The 16,579-nt window shown below is 34.0% G+C and overlaps 2 long non-coding RNA genes across 7 annotated transcripts in view; both read right to left on the minus strand.

Annotated features, from left to right (window-relative positions):
* Positions 1-16,579, minus strand: part of LOC101927967 (uncharacterized) — a 547,036-nt gene that overhangs the window by 185,148 nt on the left and 345,309 nt on the right. The gene's annotated exons all lie outside the window — the stretch shown is intronic.
* LOC105374817 (uncharacterized) overlaps positions 1-16,579 on the minus strand; it is a 30,572-nt gene that overhangs the window by 4,381 nt on the left and 9,612 nt on the right. For 4 of the 6 annotated variants that reach the window (XR_940265.3, XR_940266.3, XR_001739552.2 and 1 more), the window contains 3 exons: positions 15,877-16,152; positions 11,274-11,319; positions 10,988-11,043 (listed from right to left, as the gene is read on the minus strand). This is a non-coding gene — a long non-coding RNA (uncharacterized LOC105374817). The remainder of the gene's footprint in view (positions 1-10,987; positions 11,044-11,273; positions 11,320-15,876; positions 16,153-16,579) is intronic. The other 2 variants (XR_940269.3, XR_940268.3) reach the window with 1 other exon arrangement.

A 16,579-nucleotide genomic window follows, 5' to 3' on the forward strand; every position in this document is an offset into this window, starting at 1 on the left:
GATCTCTTTTCTATTTCATGGTCTATATGTCTGTTTTTATATAAGTATCACAGCGTTTTGATAATTGTAGCTTTGCAGTACATATTGAAATTAGGTAATGTGAAAACTCTGACTTTGTTATTCTTTGTCTAAATTGTTTTGGTTATGTGAAACCCCTTGAGATCTCATATTAATTTTAGGATGGGTTTTTCTATTTCTGCAAAAACTTCATTGGCTTTTGATAGTGCTTGCACTGAATCTACAGATCACTCTGGGCAGTACTGACATCTAAACAATATTAAGTTTTTCAACCATGAACACAGAATGCCTTTGTATTTATTAATGTCTTTAATTTTTTTCAGCAATGTTTTGTCATTTTCAGTGTACAAATCTTTTATATCTCTTGTTAACATAATCTCTATTTCATTTATTTTGATGCAATTATAAATTGAATTATTTTCTTAAGTTCTTTTTTGAATTGTTAATTGTTAGCGAATAGAAACACAATGAATTTTTGTGTGCTGATTTTGTACCCTGAACTTTTATGAATCAACTTATTAGTTCTAGCTTTTTTTGTATATAGGATCTTTAGCATTTTCTGCGTACAAGAACATATTATCTGTGAACAGTGATAGTTTTCTTGTTTATTTCTTTTCCTTCCTTATTGCTGTGACTAAAACTTCCAATATTATGTTGAAAAGAAGTGGCAAAAGCAGGCATCCTTCACTTGTTCCTGATCATAAAAGGAAAAGCTTTCAGTCTTTAGCCATTTAGTTTGATGCTAGCTGTGTTTTTTCTTTTATGGTCTTATTGTGTTTAGGTAGTTTCATTCAAGTCCCAGTTTGCTGAGTGCTTTTAATCATGAAGGGTTTTTAATTTTGACATATGTTTTTTCTGTATCTATTGAGATGATCCTGATTATCTAGACCTAACTAGATGACCAACTAGATCTAACACACATATACAGAATATTCAAGCCAAAGACAGAATAATACATATTATTCTCGAATGCTTGTAGAAAATTCTGCAGGGACCAGCTTCATGGAAGACAATTTTTCCAGACTTGGTGAGTGGGGAGGTTTTGGGATGAAAGTTTTCAGCCTCAGATCATCAGGCATTAGCTAGAGTCTCATAAGGAATGCACAACCTAGATCCCTCATCTGCGCTCTTCACAATCAGTGTCACACTCCTATAAAAATCTAATGCTGCTGCTGATCTGACAGGAGGGGGAGTGGAGGCAGTAATGCTCTCTTGCTTACTGCTCACCTCCTGCTGTGCGGCCCAGTTTCTAACAGGCCATGGACCCATACCTGTCTACAGAGTGGGGGTTGGGGACCACTGTATTACACAACAAAATAACTCTAAATACATTCCTTATTTAAAAATAATGAAAGTGTACAAACTATTTTCTCTGATTAGAATGAAATGAAGCTAGAAATAAGTAACACAAGGTAAGCTAGAAAATACATAGATTTATGAAAATTAAAAAATACATCTTTAAACAATCAACAAATCAAAGAATCACAGGAAAATTAGAAATTATTCTGAGACAAATGAAAACAAAAACACAGCATGCAAAAACTTCTAGAATTTAGCAAAAGCAATGTTCAGAGAAAAAAATTACAGTTATAATTATCTCCATTTAAATAAAAAAACCTCAAATTAAGAACCTAACTTAACACATCAAGGAACTAGAAAAAGAAAAGCAAATTAAATTCAAATATAACAGAAGGAAGGAAAAAGGGAAAAAAGAAGATTAAAGTGGAGATAAGTGAAATAAAAAATAGAAAAACAATAGAGAGAATCAATGAAACAAAAGCTGTTTACTTAAAAGATCAATAATACAAAACTTTAGTCTGACAAAGAAACAGAGAGAACATGCAAATAACTAAAGTCAGAGAAGTAACTAGGATATTACTACTGACTTTACAAAAATTTGAAAAAAGATTATAAGAGGACACTATGAACAATTGTATGCCAGTAAGTTAGATAACATCAGTGATATAGAAACTCCCTAGAAATCCCCCAAATAACAAAACTGAGCCAATGAATAACAGGAAATCTAACCAGTTACATAAGAAATTACATATTAATTAAATATTTGTGAAATAATGTGTAAATAATTTGTGACTATAAATTAATAATATTAGTAATTATTAAGTAATATTTACAAACCTCCCAATAGAGGAAAGCCCAGGGCCACATGGTTTCACTGGTAAATTCCACCAAACATTTAAAAATTCAGCTGGGCGTGGTGGCTCACACCTGTAATCCCAGCACTTTGGGAGGCCGAGGCAGGCAGATCACGAGGTCAGGAGATTGAGACCATCCTGGCTAACACGGTGAAACCCCGTCTCTACTAAAAATACAAAAAATTAGCTGGGCGTGGTGGCGGGTGCCTGTAGTCCCAGCTACTCGGGAGGCTGAAGCAGGAGAATGGTGTGAACCCAGGAGGTGGAGCTTGCAGTGAGCCGAGATCGCACCACTGCACTCCAGCCTGGGCGACAGAGCAAGACTCTGTCTCAAAATAAATAAATAAATAAATAAATAAATAAATAAATAAATAAAAATAAAAAATAAAAATTAATTAACACCAATCCTTCTCAAATCTTCCAAAATGAAGAGGGACCATTTTTTAAAAATCTTATTCTATGAGGCCAAAATAACCTTTATACTAACCACATAAAAACATCACAAGAAAAGAAACTATATACCACTATTTCTTATGCATCTAGATTAGACAATCCTTAACAAAATATTAGTAAACTAAATCCAATATTATATGGAAAAGATTCTACACCAGGAGCATTTATTCTAAGAACACAATATGAGAAAATCAGTGTATCCAATGCACCACATTAACAGAACAAAAAAAACAGAAACAAAAACAAAACCATGATCACCCAACCCACACAGTAAAAGCATTTGGTAAAAATCCAACATCCTTTCATGATAAAAAAATTCAGAAGAATATATGTAATAGAAAAGAACTTTCTCAGCATGACGAAAGGCATTGGTTAAAAAAGTCACAGCTAATAACAAACTCAATGGTGAAAAACAAAAAAGAAAATTCCCCTTTAGATAAAAAAGGAGGCCTGAATTCACCACTGACATTTACATTGTACCTGACATTTTAGCCAGAACAATTAGGCAAGAAAAATAAATAAAACACATCAAAAATGTAAAGGAAGAACTAAAACTATATATATCCATAGATGACATGATCTTATATACAAATATTCCAAAAGAATTCACACATATACACATACAAACTATTATAGCTAAAGATCACATTCAGCAAAGTTTTAGGACATAAGATTAACACATTAAAATTACTTGTTGTTTCTATACAAAATTGCACGATGCAAAAAAATAATAATATTGATTCTTCCTATTCAAGAGGATGGAATGTTTTTCCATTTGTTCATGTCCTCTCTTATTTCCTTGAGCAGTCATTTGTAGTTCTCTTGGAAGAGGTCCTTCATACCCCTTGTTAGCTGTATTCCTAGGTATTTTATTCTGTTTGTAGCAATTGTGAATGGGAGTTCATTTATGATTTGGCTTTCTGCTTGTCTATTGTTGGTATATAGGAATGCTTGTGATTTTCACACATTGATTTTGTATCCTGAGACTTTGCTGAAGTTGCTTATCAGTGTAAGGAGTTTTTGGGCTGAGACAATGCGATTTTCTAAATATAGGATTAGGTCGTCTGCAAACAGAGACAATTTGACTTCCTCTCTTACTATTTGAATACCCTTTTTTCTTTCTGTTGCCTGATTGCCCTGGCCAGAACTTCCAATACTATGGCCATACTGCCCAAAGTAATTTATAGATTCAATGCTATTCCCATTAAACTACCATTGACATTCTTCACAAAACTAGAAAAAATTACTTTAAAATTCATATGGAACCAAAAAAGAGCCTGTATAGCTAAGACAATCCAAAGCAAAAAGAAGAAAGCTGGAGGCTTCATGCTATCGAATTTCAAACTATACTGCATGGCTATAGTAACCAGAGCAGCATGGTACTGGTACCAAAAAAGATACATAGACCAATGGAACCCAGTAGATATCTCAGAAATAAGACCACACATCTACAACCATCTAATCTTCAACAAACCTGACAAAAACAAGCAATGAGGAAAGGATTCCTTATTTAATAAATGGTGTTGGGAAAACTGGCTAGCAATATGCAGAAAACTGAAACTGGACCCCTTCCTTACCCATTATACAAAAATTAACCCAAAATCATAAAAACCCTAGAAGAAAACCTAGGCAATACCATTCAGGACATAGGCATGGGCAAAGATTTTATGACAAAATCACCAAAAGCAATTGCAATGAAAGCAAAAATTGACAAATAGGTTCTAATTAAACTAAAGAGCTTCTGCACAGCAAAAGAAACTATCATCAGAGCAAACGGGTAACCTACAGAATGGGAGAAAATTTTTCCAATCTACCCATCTGACAAAGGTCTAATATCCAGAATTTACAAGGAACTTAAACAAATTTACAAGAAAAAAACAAACAAACTCATCAAAAAGTGAGCAAAGGATATGAACAGATGCTTCTCAATAGAAGACATTAATGCAGGCAACAAACTTATGAAAAAAACTCATCATCAATGATCATTAGAGGAATGCAAACCAAAACCACAAGAATCTCATGCCAATCTGAATGGCGATTATTAAAAAGTCAAGAAACAACAGATGCTGGTGAGGCTGTGGAGAACTAGGAATGCTTTTACATAGTTGGTGGGAATGTAAATTAGTTCAACCATTGTGGAAGACAGTGTTGTGATTCCTCAGGGATCCAGAACCAAAAATACCATTAGACTTAGCAATCCCATTACTGAGTATATACCCAAAAGAATATACCTCATTCTATTATAAAGATACATACACTTGTATGTTTATTGCAGCACTATACACAATAGCAAAGACATGGAACCAACCCAAATGTCCATCAATGATAGACCAGATAAAGAAAATGTGCTACATATACACCATGGAATACTATGCAGCCACAAAAAGGGATGAGATCATGTCCTTTTCAGGGACATGGATGATGCTGGAAGCCATCATCCTCGGCAAAATCACACAGGAACAGAAAACCAAACACTGCATGTTTTCATTCATAAGTGGGAGTTGAACAATGAGAACACATGGACACGAGGAGAGGAACACCACACACCAGGGCCTGTTAAGGAGGGAGGGTAGTGAGGGGAGGGGGAGCATCAGGACAAATAGTTAATGCATGTGGGGCTAAAACCTAGGTGATGGGTTGATATTTGCAGCAAATCACCATGGCACACATATACCTAAGTAAAAAACCTGCACATTCTGCACATGTATCCTGTAACTTAAAGTTAAACAAAACAAAAAAAGAAAAGAATTCCATTTTAAAAGAACATTCAAAAGAATAAAATAGCTAGGTGTAAATTTAACAAACGAGGTGCAAAATTTGTACACTAAAAATTATAAAACATTGCTAAAGGAAATTAAGGAAGGACTAAAGAATGGGAAAGACACACTGTGTTCATGGATCACATGACCTACTATTCAGATTGCAGTATTATTCAAAGCTGTCTATAGTTTCAATGCAATCCCTGTCAAAATGAATGGGCTTTTTTGTTTTTTTACAGAAAGGAAAAAACAATTATTAAATTTATATAGATTTGTAAGTTTCCCCAAATCACCAAGTCAATCTTGAAAAAGAACATTGTTGAATGACACACTTCTTGATTTCAAATTTTCCTACAAATGTATAGTAATCAAAACAGTGTGGTACTAGCATTATGATAAACCAGTAGAATAGACTTGAGAGTCCAGAAATAAATCCTCACATCTAGATGGTCAATTGATTTTTGACAGGGATGCCAAGGTTATCAATAAGAAAATAAAGTCTCTCCAACAATTATTGCTGGGACACACCGATATTTACATATAAAGAAATGAAATTGAATCCCCACCTGCACCATTTTAAAAAGTTAACTCAAAATGGATCAATGACCTAAATGTAAGAGCTAAAACCATATAAGTCTTAGAAGAAGAGATAGGTGTAAATCTTCATGGATTTGGACTTGGAAGTTAATTCTTAGATATAAAAACAAAAATACAGGCAGTGATACAACAAAAAAAAAGTTACATTTCATCAAAATGAAAAACCTTTGGGCATCTAAAAATATTATCAAGAAAAGGAAAGCCTACAGAATGAAAGAAAATACTTGTAAATTACAGATCTCACAAGGATCTAATATGCAGAATGTCTAAAGAACTCATATTGCAAATACAAACTACTAATTAAAAAATAGGCAAACGACTTGATTAGACATTTCTCCAAAGATATACAATGTCTAACAAGCACATGGAAATATGCTCAACAATGTTAGTAACTAGGACTAGGGAGACAAAAATCAAATACAAATAATATCACTTCAAACCTCCTAGGATGGCTATAATAATACTTTAAAAAGCAAAACAGAAAGTAACAAATGTTGATAAGCGTGTAGGGAAATTGGAACCCTCTTATTTTGCTTGTGGGAATGTAAAACAGTGCAGCTACTGTGGAACACATTTGGACAATTCCTCAAAACCTTAAACAGTATTATCGTATTAACCAGAAATTACATATATGTATATGTAATTATATATATATATGTAATTATATATATATATAATTAATTGAAACAGGTACTCAAATAAATGCTTACACCTGGATGCTCATAGAATATTCACAGAAGCTAAAAGATAGAAACAATGCAAATGTTCGTCAACAGATAAATAAACAAAAAATAGTATGTATAGGAGACCATATTCATCCATAAAAAGAAGTGAAGTACTTACACATGGTACAATGCAGATGAGCCTCAAAAATATTACACTAAATGAGAGCAGCCAGATATAAAAGGTCACATATTGTATGACTTCATTTACATAAAATGTCCAGAGTAGATAGATTAATAAAGACAGCCTATTGGTGTTTGCCAGTGTTTCAGAAGAGGGAGGATGGGGAGTAACTGCTTAATGAGTATAGGGGTTCTTTTGGGGGCGATAAAAATATTTGAGAACTAGATAGTGGTGGTGGTTGTGCAACACTATCGTGCTAAATGACACGGCATTTTTCACTGTAAAATGGCAATTTTTATGTTATGTAAATTTTATCTCAATAAAAACCTTATTAAAATAATGAATTATTAATCCTATTTTATCTTCCAATTTTTTTATTTTTACACAATTAAATATGCCTATATCTTATGGTATCATTATTAATAAGATGATATTACTTAACAGTATAATAGATTAAGAAGATTAGGGTTTATAGAAACACATGGATTAATATCTCACACCATTCTTGCTTTATAAATAAAAATTTATCAGCTGAATTTTTATTTTTCCTTCACTGTCACTTTAGGGGCATAGGGATTTTTTCTCACAGAGTTCATAGAATCTAATTAATATATTTCCTAACATGACTGTAGCTTAGATGTTCATAATATCTACTTAGAAATTTTATATATTTTGATGTCTACAACAAGCCAGTAAAAAAATAATATAATTGTAATACTGAATGGGAAAATAAACTTCTAACAATTTGTCCAAACTATTCTTTTTACATAGTAAAAACTATAAATAATTAATGTAAATTAGAGAAACTAGATAACAGCTAAGCATTTGTTTTAGTATTATATATAAATTTATGATGGAATGGGAAAAGCAGTATGGGTGATAATCATTCTAGAATACAGTGATCAGGTAGACATCTTAAACAGGACAGTTCTGGTTTTAAGCTTTTTTAAATCCCAGGATGAAAATTCATTTTACTGATAACACCAGAGCTAGATTTGTAATATGGAAGAAGTGAAAAAATCATGGGAAAATTTCTTCACTCCTGAAAAATTGGTAGTTTAGACATAGACTCAAATTAGGAAAATATGAGAATTGCAAAAATCCAAATCATTGTTTTATTTCATTTGGAAATTTAATAGAGCAGGCTTTTTCTTTTACTGGGTATAGAGAAATCATATCATAGTATCTATATTTTGTAAGACATAATATTATATCATAAATTTATAGTGTTAATTGTCCTTTTTGACATAGATTAAAAGATGCAATATAATATATTATGCATTTTAAATAATTTTATGAGATTTGAAGATATTATTGAGAAAACAAAACAATTTTGAGATACAATAATTCTTTCTAATGACTTCCTGGTGCAGAGGAAATATTTTCTTAATTTTGAAACAATAAAATTACATATTTGTGTGGGTGTGTGAGAGTGTTTTTCTATACATAGAGTGGGGAGGGAGAGAGGGAAAGAGCGGGGAGAGAGACAGACTTCATATATGCATTATATATTTTCATACTATATATAATTTTAACTGTGGTTGCCATTTGAAAGTACCATAGTAAATCCAGAGACAGAAACTTTTTTTCAGTTTATGCCATAGAAACCACTGAAGCATAAAATGTGAAAGTATCATTGCTACTCATGTTCTGGCTTGAAGACTTCTATTATTATTTATTACTATTGTCTCAAGAAAACATTAACTGGTTTACTGGTTTCCTGTGAAAAACAACTGAAATCTATAGAAGCTAATTCCTTTAAAATACTGCCACCTTTGTCAGTTACCCTAGGCTCTAGATATCAAACCTAGCTTTAGAGAATGAAGCTCCTGTCAGTCTTCACTATTAGATACAGCAGAATTTTTCCGTCATTTTATTCAATCATGTCTTTTTTTTTTTGACAGGGTCTCTCACTCTGTCACCCAGGCTGGAGTGCGGCGGTGTGATCAAGCTAACAGCACCGTGTATCTCCCAGGCTCAAACGATCCTCCTACCTCAACCTCTACTAAGCAGCTGGGACTACAGTCTCCTGCCATCATGCTTGGCTAATTTTTTTTTTTTATTTTTAGTAGAGAGGAGGTCTCACTATGTTGCCCAGGCTGGTCTCAAACTCCTGAGATTAAAGCGATCCTCTCGCTTAGGCCTCTCAAAGTGCTGGGATTACAGTTGACAGCCACAACCCCTGGCCTCAATCACATCTTTTAAAATTCTCTTTACTTTTCAACCTATAGGTGGAAACTACCTCACTGGTCATTAAAATTAGTCATTTTATTCTGGTATGCAGTTACCAGAAAAATTTTAAAATTACCAAGTGACAAAGACAATGACTATTCCCAATAGTAACTGTGAGTCTTATTAGACACCCTCAAATGTTCAGAACTAGCATAGTTTCCTTTTCTTTTTTTGTTTTAGCTCTAGTCATCTTAAGAATTGTCACCAAAGATATTTTAGGTTGTGAAGCAGTAAAATTACCAAAAGGTCAGAGGCTTAAAAAAGGAAGGCTTACTTATTGCTTGTTCTACATGTCCATCGAGGGTTGCTTGGATTGTTCTCTGTGTTGTCCTTTCTCTGGGACATGGAATAGCTACTACACATAACATTCCTTGCCATTAGCACAGAGGGAAAGACAACGTTTGCTGATCTGGTTACAGCAATTAAATTCCCCTGCCCAAAGAAACAGCTCTTGGCTCACAACTTATTGGCTGGCACAAGTCACCTGGCTCCACCCAACCCATAGAAGTGAAAAAGTGCAATAATACCATGTGCTCAAAAAAGGAAAGATCAGATACATTTGGTCACCAGCATTAATGATTACAGTGACATTCCATTCCAACAGGTTAACCATTTTATTACCTATTTTTGCATATGAGAAAATGAATGTTCAGAAATGTTTTGCTAAAGATCACTTATATAAAAAATGCCAGAAACTAAAAAGAAACTCAGATATTTCTTCGTCTGAATTAGGTTTCTTCACAGTAAACCATGTTACATCATACAGTTCTAGTCCAACAGGCAGTTGTGACATAGAATCTAATTCAAATTTACTTAGCAAATAAAACAACCTCCTCAACAATCAACATTCTAAACCTAATACCTGGATACTTAATTCTTCAAAACTACCAGTGTTCACTTTATTCTGAGTCTATAATGGTTTATAAATAAGCACAAATATTTAATGGCTATGAGCTACCCACTTACGATTAATGAACATGAAAATCCTTAATTTAATCAGCCCATTTAACATTTCCAAAGGGAAAAGAAAACATTAGTAGAATTTTTGACTCAGGCATATGTGTTGCTTCCTTGGTTCTCAGACTCACTCTTTTTACAAATATAATGAAATATTCTGCAACTATAATATTAATTTATATTAGAACAGAATAGAATTGTAACACAGATACATGAGGTTCCTATAGAATAATTTTCTGCTTTTTAAAATAGATTGTGGTGGCTATTTTCAGAATTCTGGCTGAGGTTGTAACCTCAGATTCTGCATTTAGAACATACTAAGATTCTAAGGAATAAAATCTCTGAAGATAAATGAGCCAGAAATATCACTTCTAACTAATACTACTATCATATCGCTTGGGACCGAAACACAGTATATACTTAGAGCAAGTTATTTAGGTAGACAAATGGATGATAAGGGTAGGACAGTGGACTGCCTTCCCAGACTACTTATAGGTGTCATTATTTTGGTGGCTCTTTATAAAGTATATTTGAGATTCTGATGTGTCAATACTAAGTATGTATATTTCTCATGAGTAACAAATCAGGGATATTTGGGGCAACAAGTTATAGAATCTTACTCTCAGTGTCATAATAAAATCAGGTTTGTTTTTTCTCATATGATGAGATGTCTAGAAAACAGCTGCCGCTGAATTTGACAAACTTGCTCTATGATGTCATAGCTGTCATTGCTTTTCTCTGGTATCTATAACATGGCTGTTGTGGCTCTGCTCATCCACCATTAAAATCAAAGAACAGGAGGGAAGGACATCACTCATTTATTATGATTATGATTATTTTATGTCTTTAGGAAAGTAAAGCCTTCTCATACCCACCATAAAAGTCCCTTAACTCATATACTTGTGGCAGAAGAGGGTTACATAAGCCGTTCAAATGAAGCTGATAAAATGAGCAAAGAATGCTAAAGATTACCTTAGAACTGCCACAGCTCTTTAACTGGTTCTGGACACAAATATCATTTTGTTAGTCTGTAAAAAGGAGATGGAGATGTGATTAAAAAAAACTGCCACATAAAAGATGAGTGGCATTGTCATGTCACAGATCTACCCAGTGAAGATTAATATATTTATTTCAAAGCAAAACAAAACCTCAAGTGAAAGTGACATACCATCACTTCTGTCATATTCTATTTGATATAAGAAAGTCATCAAATCCAGCCCATCTGCAAGGGGAAGAAATTAGACAACAGCATGAATACCTGGAGGCAGGGATTATCTGGGGCCATTTCAAGGTTGCCTATCACACTGGAAAAAGAGAGAAAACATTTTGTTTGAAAAATAGTATCTTGAAAATGGCATATAGCAGAATCTAAGCAATATGCTGAAATTTGTTACCTTTTAACAGGGCATTTAGCCCTCTTCACAACTATAGTGATCCCTTGTTCTTATTTTAGGTAATAATCTTGTCATTCTATTTATTGAGTTTTCTTCTGTTTTTGCTGGGTTTATTAAATTTTCATTCTTGCATTGAAAAAATATTCTGTGTCCTATTTGTAGACACATTGTACTAATAATTGTTTAAAAATTTTACCAAACTGATTTTAATTTATATTATAATGATTAGGAATGGGTCAGGTGTGGTGGCTCATGCCTATAATCCCATCTTTGAGAGGCCAAGGAAAGGGGATCCCTGAAGCCGAAGAGTTTGAGACCAGCCTGGGCAACACAGTGAGACCCCATCTCTAAAAAAATTCAGAAAAATTTAGCCTGGCATGGTATTGCACAATTGTAGTCCAAGCTAATCAGAGGCTGAGGTGAGAGGATTGAGCCCAGAAGGTCGAGATTACAGCATGCTGTGATCATTCCACTATATTCCATAACTGACGAACAGAGCAAGACTGGGTCTCTAAATAAATAGGAATGAACAATTTATATTACAACCCCAAACAAAATATACCATTTTTTTCTCTGTCATTTTCTCCCACTCCATAGCTCCATTGCCAAATCAGAATTTAATTTGAATTATTTAATACTTTTATTATTCATTATTGTTTTATTATTGAGCTTTGGCTATTGTTTTCTTCTACTTTAAAAACCCTTTCCTTACAAGTATATCAAACTTCACAGCCACTTTTTCAACAAGTATTATTCAATCTAAGATAAAGGTAACACTCATATAGATTTTACCAAATTAACTTCTACTCATCCACAAAATCTCACATATAAACACATATAATCTTCTCAGTGGCCAGTGGCTCATGCCTGTAATCCCAGCACTTTGGGAGGCCAAGGCAGGCAGATCACCTGAGGTCAGAAGTTGGAGACCAGCCTCACCAACATGGTGAAAACGCAGCTCTACAAAAAATACAAAAAATTAGCCAGGCACCTGTAATCTCAGCTACTCGGGAGGCTGAGGCAGGAGAATCACTTGAACCTGGGAGGCAGAGGTTGGAGTGAGCCGAGATCGCACCATTGCACTCAAGCCTGGGCAACAAGAGCGAAACTCCATCTCAAAACAAACAAACAAACAAAAAAACACAAACGAACAAAAAAACTTCTCAGATAGAAATTTCCTTCCCACTAAATAAAATTAGTTTTGTCTATTACAAGATTTTATGGAACTATGTCCTTTCCTTTCATAGAACTTATGCCCATTTATATTTATGGGTACATTTTATAATTGTTTAATTTTTGTTCTTACCACTGGACTGTAGGCCTGAACTGTGCCTGTTTTTGTTCACAATAATATCTGCAGTATCTATTATAGTGTTTGGAAATGTGAAGATGCTCATAAACATTCTGAATAAATAAGTACATGAATTTTGATTATCAAAAAAACGAAAAAGCCACTTTACAGTTACATGTGGAAAAAGATTTATTTCAAGGAATTGGATAAATTTCACAAATAGATGCTTGAAAAGCGCATTGATTCTTCAAAACACAACAGAGTTCATTTTTTTTTAGAATAGAAATGGAACTCAAAATGTAGGCAGGGAATTACTATCACTATCCTGTTTTCTACAAAAAAAGAGCAGGTATATGGATTACTTGGACCATTTGAATTACTGTGGTAGTACATTATTTTTTTTCTTTGTTCTGTTTTAGGTCTAACTTAAAATTATTCTTAGGACATTTTAGTTTATTTTCTTTTATTCTCCTTTTTCAGTGGAGAACAATGACACTTTATTACAAATCCTGCATATGTACATTATTACTGTCATTTTACAGATTATCTAATCATAATACATGGGAAATTGTTATCTTTCTTCTTTGAAGAACTATTTTATATGCCCTCGAGCAGTTATTTTCATTTTATCTTTCATGCATATCACATTCATCAAATATGTGCCCTGAAGCAAGATCAATTCAAATATTTAAATATTATTTTATACCCTTTGCATATTTGATGGTATTTCATTTAGCTGCAATGTTATTCCAATACTGCATATAAGTTTTATTATTCCTTCTCTCATTCATGCACTTATCTATTCATTTTTTTCATACATTTGTAAATTCATAGATCCAGCTAATAATATACATTGAATCCTTTTCCCTACCACTTTGTATCAGACAGGTTGCTAATAATAACAGATGGAGAAATGATTAGGGCACAGACCTCCTTATGAAGAATTTCTCAATCTTGTAGGAGAACCAGATGTGTAATTTCTGATGCAAATGACAGAAAACAATTTGTATAGTTCAAGTATGGCCATGATAGTGCTTACATGAGAGGAGTAGGTCATCCCTCTTTTAGAGTTAAAGGAGAGTACAGAGGGTAAGTGAAATTTAAGCTAATAATTAGAGAAAAGGATGATTTAGCAAGTGATAAAGTTCACAGAAAGCACTTAAGAAATAGAAAAATATTCATGATATATTTATCTAACATTGATAGGTCATGTTAGAAAACCAATGGAAATTAGAGTGTAGTTCATAAGTGCATTTAATTATAAACATGATTTGTGAGGTATTTTTGGACTAGGGTATAAATATCTTAGAGTCATGATACCTTTGGACTTTGTCCTTAAGGGGTGTAAAGTTACCAATTTGCTTTCTGGTAATTAAGGTAATTTTATGAGTTTCCCAGGCTGTTGAAACAAATTGCCACAAACTTAGTAGCTTAAAACAACATGAATTTGTCTTATATTTCTGGAGGTCAGAGGTCTAAAATCATGATGTTTGCAGGATTTCATTCCTTTTGGACATCTTAGGGGAGAATCCCTGACTTTGTTTTTTCCAGTGTCTAGAGCCCATCTACATTCCATTATTCATGATCTTTCCTCCATCTTCAAAGTGCATTGCTCCAATCTCTGGTTCCCTCAACACATCATTTTTCTGCAGCTAAATCTCTTTATCTTTCTATTATAAGGATACTTGTCGTTGTATTAGATGCATCAGTCCTATCTGGTAGAATCTCCCCATCTCAAGATATTTAATCACATCTGTAAAGTTCCTATTGCTACTTAAAGTAACATATTGATAGATTATGAGGATTAGTTCATGGATATGTTGGGGGTCACTAATTAGCCTAATAGAGTCTGTCCACTGGTCCAGCAAAATTCAGATCCATTCCTAATGCAAAATACATTCACTCCATCCCAACATTCCTGAACAGTTCAACCAATTATAACATCAACTCACGGTCCAAAACTTCACCTATGTCATTTCAAGAGTCCCAAATCTCATTATCCATCTTTCCTAAATCAGGTATGGGTGAGAATCTGGGTATGAACAAATGTCTAGCAAAATACCTCACAATTTCTGGACCTGTGAAGCTGTAAAACAGGTTTCTGATCCCAAAAAACAATAATGGGGCAGTAATAATATAAGAGTTATAGACATCCCCATTCAAAAAGGAGAAAATGGAAGAAAGGAGTCACCAGTCCCAAACAAATTTAAAATCTAACCAGATAAACTCTATTAGGTTTTAAGGCCTAGAAATAATCTGTAGCTCTCATTTTCATCCCGTGTCCAAGTTTCACCCACCAAGATTCACCGCTGTGGCCCTCAGCTTAATCCTCTGTGCCCAAGTCTCTGACCTCTGAGTCATTCTTTTTTTTTTCATAAAGGGTAGCATCTGCTTGCAGCTGAGTAGTTTTATGAACCTGTTTCCTGTCTGCAGAATTTTGGTATTCTGATGACCTCCATTCATTTTGCCCCGTCTGTTTCTTTCGATTGATGCTGATAATATTTCTGCTGCTATCCTCAAGAACATTGTAAAGTCCCCATGTATGTCCTAGGGATTCCTGCCATTAGACAAGAAGTTTCTCCACAGGTTTTTCCTAGATTATATCATTTCTACTTTTGGCTTCTGCTGAGCTGGCTGAGGGGATCCATGTGTTATATGATCCCTTCAAAGAGTCTTCTGTGTGACTGAATATTGTGAACTTTTGTCCTTCTCAGGCATTAAAAAGGTTGTCAATCACCCTCTTGGCTTTCTTTCCTGAAGGTGCTTTTCTGACAGTACATTTCCCAATGTTATTGTCTTTTGCAATTTAAATCAGCTGAGGACTTCCCAAATAATCAAGTCCTGATTCCCTTTTACATAGCATGTTTTCCTCAATTTATCTTTCCTCTCCCATTTTACCACAGGCATCAAGAAGAAACTAGGGCACATCCTTAATATTTTCCTAGGAAATCTCAGCTTACAAATTCTGCTTTCCTTGTAACTAGGAAGCAATTCAGCTAAGATTCTGACACTTTTCCCACTGTGTTTTTGAAAATTCTTCTATAGACTCTACCCATTGCCCAATCCCAAAGCCAATTCTACATGTTTGGGTATTTATCACAGCAACATTCCACTTTCAGGTACTAAAATTTGTACTAGGTTCCTATTGCCACCGTAACAAAATACCCCAAACTTACTAGCTTACTCCAAACAACATAAATTGATTCTTTTTCATTTCCGGGGTTTGTAAGTCAAAAATTATGACGTTGGTAGGTTTGCATTCCTTCTGGAGAGTTCAGGGAAGAATCTATTTCCTTGTCTTTCCAGCCTCAAAAGACCACCTGCATTTCTTGGCCCAGGTGTTCTTCCACTACCTTCAAAGCATGTCATATCAACCTTTGGTTCCAGCATCACATCTTATTTATTTATTTATTGTAGTGAAGTCTTCCTCTGACTCTCTCTTATAATGACACCTGTGAATACATTGAGCCCACTGAATAATCTAGAATGATCTCCCCACCTCAAGATCCTTAACATAATCATATCTGAATGGGCATTGGGGGGTGTGTGGTGAAGAGTTGTATTCAGCCTAACATAGTAATGTATGAGCAATTTCAATATTGAGAATGACAACTTTGGTTACAAAGTAGAGAGTAGATTGGAATTTCAAGAACGTGGCAGGGAAATATATTAGGGTGCTGTTTGTATACCTCAGAAAGAGAGATTATCTATTGTTCACAAATATGTGCCTCAATGGAACCCTATTTAGGATAAAAATTATCTGTATCAGGAACTTCCTTTCTGTTAACGTTCACAAAATGTGGTGAAATCATGAATGCATGAGTAATAAAGGGAGAAGAATAAAATATGACACTAGAATTTTTAGCTTTAGATATTAAG

The sequence above is a fragment of the Homo sapiens genome, chromosome 2 (assembly GCF_000001405.40).
Source record: "Homo sapiens chromosome 2, GRCh38.p14 Primary Assembly".
Lineage (NCBI taxonomy): Eukaryota > Metazoa > Chordata > Mammalia > Primates > Hominidae > Homo > Homo sapiens.